Source organism: Homo sapiens, chromosome X (assembly GCF_000001405.40).
Source record: "Homo sapiens chromosome X, GRCh38.p14 Primary Assembly".
Classification (NCBI taxonomy): Eukaryota; Metazoa; Chordata; class Mammalia; order Primates; family Hominidae; genus Homo; species Homo sapiens.
In genome coordinates, this window is record NC_000023.11 from 45,845,422 (window position 1) to 45,852,522 (window position 7,101).

The 7,101-nt window shown below is 46.8% G+C and overlaps 1 long non-coding RNA gene across 1 annotated transcript; it reads right to left on the reverse strand.

The window, feature by feature from the left end:
- Positions 1 to 2,652: 2,652 nt before the first annotated feature.
- LINC02595 (long intergenic non-protein coding RNA 2595) lies at positions 2,653 to 6,069 on the reverse strand. Its single transcript, NR_125365.1, has 3 exons — positions 5,933 to 6,069; positions 3,954 to 4,051; positions 2,653 to 2,792 (listed from the first exon to the last, which is right to left on the reverse strand). It is a non-coding gene; the product is annotated as a long intergenic non-protein coding RNA 2595 (long non-coding RNA).
- Between the last annotated feature and the right edge of the window lie 1,032 nt (positions 6,070 to 7,101).

Sequence of the window (7,101 nt, forward strand, 5' to 3'; positions counted from 1 at the left end):
ATGCTACTAACCGTACACTCAAAAACAGTTGGCCGGGTGCAGTGGCTCACGCCTGTAATCCCAGCACTTTGGTGGGCTGAGGCAGGTGGATCACCTGAGGTCAGGAGTTCAGCATCAGCCTGGCCAACATAGTGAGACCTCATCTCTACTAAAAATACAAAAAATTAGCCAGGCATGGTGGTGCCCGTCTGTAATTTCAGCTACTTAGGTGGCTGAGGTAGGAGAATTGCTTGAACCCAGGAGGCAGAGGCTGTAGTGAGCCAAGATCGCACCACCACACTGCAGCACTCTGTCTCAAAAAAAAAAAAAGGTTAAGATGGTAAATTCTAAATATACATATTTTCCCACAATTACAATAAAATACGTTTTTAAAAACCCACAAAGATACCACTGTACACCCAGCAAAGTAGCTAAAATTTAAAAGACAGATAACACCAAGTGTTCATTAAAATGTAGAGCCACTAACTGGGTAACACTCATACACTACTGGGGAAATTTAAGTTGGTACAACCCCTTTGGGAAACTGTTTGGCAATATCTACTAAAGCTAAATATGTGCCTACCTATGACCCTACAATTCCTCTCCTGAGCATATGTTCAGAGACATGATTGGGCATGTGCACCAAAAGACATAAGCAAGAATGTTCATGGCTGCTTTATTCGTATTAGCCCCAAACTGAAAACAATCCAAAGAGCCAACAGGAAAATGGAGAAACAAACTGTGATATATGCATACAATGGAATGATTCTCAGCAAGAGATTAGAACTACTGATATGCACAACCTTGTGGATGAATCTCATAGACTTTATGTTATGCCTATGAAATTCTAGTGCCTGTCTATATGTGTGAATGAAAGACACACACAAGAGTTCCCACTATATGACACTATTTATACGGAACTTACAAGACAAAACTAGTGGATGGAGTTTTTTAAAAATCACAATGTGGTTACCTTCATGTTGGAGGTACGATGAATTCTGAACAGAAGGGGCAAGAGGAAATCCTCTGGAGTGCTGGAAATCTACATCTTGACTCAGGTGATGGTCACATGGTATACACGCATGCAAAGTTTCACTGAGGAGTACACTTTATTTATTTATTTATTTATTTATTTATTTATCTTTTTGGAGACAGGGTCTCATTCTGTCACCCAGGTTGGAGTGCAGCGGCACGATCTCGGCTCACTGCAACCTCAGCCTCCTGGGTTCAAGTGATTCTCCTTGAGCAGTACACTTTAGACCAGTACCTTTTACACACTTTATTATGTATGTTATATGTCAAAAGTCAAATATCTCTAAAGCACCTAATGGCTCTACAACAAATATACTATAATTCAAAAAAGGAATAAAATATCAACCTTGTTCTTTTTCTTTTTGACTGAGGAGACTCCATTCCTGTTAGATATTTTGAGGGATAATTAGTTACATCCCAATTTCCTGAGTCAGATAATGAATCTAAGTCTCATGCAGTGCAAACTTACATGTTCCTAAATGTTCAAGAGCTTTCCTGAAGCCACTCCTTATCCATGGAGTCTTTAAAGTGAGAACCCTTCAGTATTTAGTGCAATCTACACTTTCTGAGTCTGAGCTCCCTGTTTGCTTTCTACTGGTAAGTGTTCAATTTCTTTTTTTTCTTTTTTTTTTTTTTCTTAAGAAGGGATCTCACTGTCACACCCAGGCTGGAGTGCAGTGGCATGATCGTGGCTCATCACAGCCTTGACCTGCCAGGCTCAAGGGAGGCTCCCACCTCAGCCTCCCGACTGTGTGGGACTACAGGTACACATAGCTACAGGTGCACATCACCACGCCTGGCTACTTTTTGTAATTTTTTGTAGAGACAGGGTGTTGCCATGTTGTCTAGGCTGGTCTTGAACTCCTGAGCTCAAGCAATCCTCCCATCTCGGTCTCTCAAAGTGCTGGGATTCCAGGCTTGAGCCATCGCACCCAGCTTCCATTTATTTTTTAAGCTTCAATAACAGCATCCAAGTTTATTTAACACCTTCATTAGCAGGGACGAAACAAATCCCTCCTCAGCTGTAAGGCAGAATGTCGAGGTAACACCACAACCAGCACTGTGATAATTGTGCACCCCATCCCACCCGTTGCATCTGCACAAAGAGAAAGCTTCATTCTCTTGAGCGGCCATTTTGATGCCTGACCCTTAACACGGCCAGCACAATAACTTTAGCATCCGTGTGAAAGTACCAATAGCGGTGGTAGGCGCTGGCTCATGCCTGTAATCCCAGCGCTTTGGGAGACCGAGGCGGGAGGATCACCCGAGGTCAGGAGTTGGAGACCAGCCTTACCAACATGGTGAAACCCCATCTCTACTAAAAATACAAAAATTAGCCGGGCCTGGTGGTGGGTGCCTGTAATCTCAGCCACTCAGGAGGCTGGGGCAGGGGAATCGCTTGAACCCGAGGTGAAGGTTGCAGTGAGTCGAGATCATGCCACTACACTACAGCCTGGGCGACAGAGACTCCTTCTCAAAAAACAACAACAACAACAACAACAACAACAAAAAAACATACCAATAGCTATGGCCTACCATTCCCAGGAAAGAAAGTAAAAGCCCACAAAGGTAAATATTTTCTTCCCTTTGGCGTCTTCTGCCCTTCATTATAAAGAGTTGCTCAGTTGTTGAAAAAGGATCTTAATATGCAAAACTTTACATTTTAGTGAGAATCAAAGGCAAATTCTTTTGAACTGTGTCACAACGAATAACATTACAAACATGTCTCTCATCAGCACATAACTCGTCCTTATTTTAGTCAAGCAGGCAAATTAGTGGGCCTGTAAAAACAGCAAGGTAGTAGGAGAAAAATCATCAGAAGGTTAATAGCAGAAGGGCTTGGTTTAAAAGAAGCCTCCTAATGCATCTGTATTCTGATCGGTGTTACGTCAATTCAACAGTGAGATGCAGTTTTATTAAAAGCTGATACTTGGCTGGGTGCAGTGGCTCATGCCTGTAGTCCTAACACTGTGGGAGGCCAGGGCAGGCAGATCGCTTGAGCCCAGGAGTTAAAGACCAGCCTGGACAATATGGCAAAACCCTGTCTCTACAAAAAATACAAAAACAACCCCGGCGTGTTGTGGGAGGTTGTAGTGAGATGGAGATGTAGGAGATGTAGGATGTAGGAGATGGAGGTTGTAGTGAGCTGAGATCCTGCCACTGCCCTCCACCTGGGTAACAAAGCCAAACCCTGTCACCAAAAAAAAAAAAAAAAAAAAAAAAAAATTTTTTTTTTTTTTTGAGACGAAGTCTCACTCTGTTACCCAGGCTGGAGTGCAGTGGCGCGATCTTGGCTCACTCCAAGCTCCACCTCCCGGGTTCACGCCATTCTCCTGCCTCAGCCTCCCGAGTAGCTGGGACTACAGGCGCCCGCCACCACGCCCGGCTAATTTTTTGTATTTTTAGTAGAGACGGGGTTTCACCGTGTTAGCCAGGATGGTCTCGATCTCCTGACCTCGTGATCCGCCCGCCTCGGCCTCCCAAAGTGCTGGGATTACAGGCGTGAGCCACCACACCCAGCCAAAAAATAAAAAAAATTTTTAAGCTGATATTGTTATTGGTTCATGCAGGTGACTCTGTTAACATTATCTCAAATGAAATTATTCAGAACAATTGGCAGTTTTATGTAGTTTCAGGAAAAGTGTTTTGAAAAGCAGATATCAAACAACTGGTTAAATGCAAAGCCACATGGTCACAATGGAAAAACAACTCTTTTAGAACAGTAAAAAGTCATGTAATATAATGACATGCAGAATTTTTATTTAAATACATTGTCAGAAATAGATTAGACCCTGCTTCTCCTCGGAGGTTACCTCAAAATACATTTCACTTCATAGAAATTTATATAAGTGTCAAAATATTGAACATAAGAGCAAATGGGTTAGTACTACTGGAATGCAATAATTATAAAGCTAGATAGGTGGATTAATTGTCCTACATACCTGTGGTTTTTCAGATTCCTGTGCTTGCTTACTCATGTACATTTGACTCTTTCAGAAACCACTTCTGGAAGCTCCCGGTCTGGCTTCTACACTGCCACCTGTAGACATAAAAGAGAAATAAATCATGTATTATTCGTCAACAATGCATCTTTTCTAGGCATCTAACGGGGACATCTGGGGAAAAAGTGGCAAAACATTTGCTCCAAAAGACAAAAATGTTCTTTCTCCTCTGTGTTGAAAATTCCTAAGGCGTCCTTCTCCCCAATGGTATGATAAATTATTTGATTAGAAATTGAAACATATGTAAGTCTCAGATCATCAACTATACACCACTCTGAGCCGATCATTAAAGAGATGGAGTCGCAGAACTCAACTTACAGCCATTTCAAGACCTGTCGTTTAAAATTAAAAGAAAACTTCACCGCTTTGTTCATCTGTAATTCAGAATTCTGTAAATTGACACAAAGAAAGATCAGGGGCGATTCAGGCTAAGGTTACTTTACCACAAGGTTGTAAGATGTCTATTTAAAATAACAGTAATTCTAACCTGAACTACAGTTTTGTCCAATCCAAACAGCAGTTTGGTGGGGTATTTTCATCAAAATGCCCTATCCTTGATTTGAATATGAATGACTGCGGAAGGGTCTTTCTGAAACCCCACGGATTTTAATACAGGTAGGTCCTTTTTCCAAAAAAAAAAAAAAAAAAAAGTCAGGAAATGAACAAACAGGAATAAAAATTCATGAACAACTATCGGCAAATCCAAGCAGCCATGAGACGTGCGAGTGTGTGTGTGTGTGTGTGTGTGTGTGTGTGTGTGTGTGAGAGAGAGAGAGAGAGAGAGACAGAGACAGAGAGAGAGAGAGAGAGAAAGAGACAGAGAGAGACCGACCGACAGACACACACTGAGATTTCTGGAGTTAATTGCGAATAACCGCGCCGCGAAGCTTTTTTACCTCCTCCAAGTCCCACAGTCTACCTAGGACAAGTAAGCCCGGCTCCAGCACCTTAAGCCAAAGACACAAGCACCACCACCTCCACCCCCACTACCTAGGCGAGACAGCGCCAAAAGCCACCGAGCGTGCACGCCAGCCAGGCCCGCTACCCCGCAAACCCGGGAGCTTCTTTATCCCCAGCAGAGATCCGCCCCACTTACCAGTAATTTACTTTAACGCCTCGAAAGCATGATTTGGTTTACGGAATTGCAGCAAATAAAAGAAAATCAAGTCTCCTTGAGACACTGTCCTCCTCCTCCCTAGGACGCACATTCACACGGAACACTCTCCTTTCGCTCTCAACCCCGAACACGCTCTGGACTATCCCAAGAGGGTCTTTGGGGACCCGCCAGAGATCGATACTGCTCCCACGTGCCTCCATTAAACCCTTGTCCAAACATGCACAAGGCGCCAAGGGCATGTGCAGAATCAGCCCTCAGAGTAAGTTCAGCAAACCCATTCCCTACCCCCGAAAGCGCGAGGGAGCACCCTGACGCAAGCGCCGGCCCCGGCAGACAATACTCAAGCAACTCCAGCCTTCCGCGCACACGCCCCGACCGGTCCAGCCACCACTCTCTCCTCCCATGGTCCCTACAGTCTTCGGGCCGGGAGCAGGGGGCGTCCTGATGGTTGCTGGGTGTGGACTGTGAAGAGAAGGGCAACCTGCACACGCCACCGATACTGCGGGGCGGGTAGGAGATCGCAGTTTTCCAAAGCCCCACCGGTGTGCCCAGCTCCTCAGAAGGGGTGGGGTGGGGACAGTGGAACCGAGGGAGTGAACCCTAAGGGAGGCAGCTTTTCTGCACCTCTTTCCCACCTACCACAGCGCGCGCGCAGAAGCGCGCCCACCACGGGGCCGTGCACCTTCCTTCTGCCCCTGGACCTACCCAGCCCTCGCCCCCAAGCGCAGTGGCCTGGAAGAGCGGGCGTCCGGCCCGCGGTGGCCGGGGGAGCGGGCAGAGCGCCGCGCTCGGGGGTGCCCACCTGCGCGCAGGGTCGTCGCTGCTGCCGGTGCACCCGCCGCTGTTGCAGTCTCCAGCTGCAGGAGGAAGAGGCGCGGCGGCTGAGCCCCCGGACTCCACGCGCCTACTCGCGCCCCGGAGCGGTGGTCCTCATTTCCCTTCGTCCCGGCTGGCGAGCCACCCACCTCGCCCGCAGGTTCTGCCAGTCCCGCGGCCCGCCAGAGCCCAAGCTATCCTCTCCGCCCCTTTCCCGCCGCCCCGCGCTGCGCTGCGCTCCGCCCCCTGCCCGCCCATCCCCGCCGGGGCCCAGCCGGGGGCTGCGGGCGCCGCGCCTCGTGCCGCAGATTTCGGGTTCTTGGGTCTGTGGCGGTAGAAAGGGGATGGGGGGGACCAGGGGTGCGGCCCTGGGGTCCGCCCCCAACCCCGCTCTCCCAACCGGTTCCCCACTCCTGGGGCCCGCGGCGGCCGCCCGCGGCTAAGGGTGTGGGAACCGTGCACTCTGCCCCCGCTCTTCCGGCGTCTCCCCGCATGGCACCTTCCGTGGCCCAGAGGGTGCCTCGTGTCTTAGGGGGAGGGGGGTTGGTGAAGCAAGGTGGAGTGAGCCTGAGAGTGGAAGCGAAGAAATTACCATGTGAATTGCCAGGGGATGCAAGTTGCTGCCTGTGCCCTGTTTCTTCTACATTAACTACCTGGATGTGCTGCTTCCCTTGCTACAACCGCAGTAATATTCAGAAGCTTGAATATAAGATTTCCAAGTTAATTGGCTGTAGGGTGGTTGGGTTTTTTTTTTTTTAATGTAATGATGGCAGAAGACAACAGATTCACTCTTTTTAAAAAGTTACTTTACATATATGTACAATATATAAAGCCATATTTCTAATTTAAAAAATAGCAAAATGTAAATAACAGAACAGCTGTGTTTTACAGAAACAAATCCAGTGTGTATGTGTTATTTAAACCCACGGTAATTATATTAATTGGTTCGTTTTAAAGTGTATTTTAGGTATTTCTTAAAACGGACTCAGAATTTAGGGATTAGGAACCCCTGAGTTTTAATTTGGCTTTTTGTCATAGTTCTAAAATGTCAATTTCATGGAAATTACTAAATGAGGTTGTTTAGAAAAATGGGTTCTTTTTCTTCCAGGTTGGCAGCATTTTCAGATCTGGCAAAGGACAGAATTTTTTTTAAAG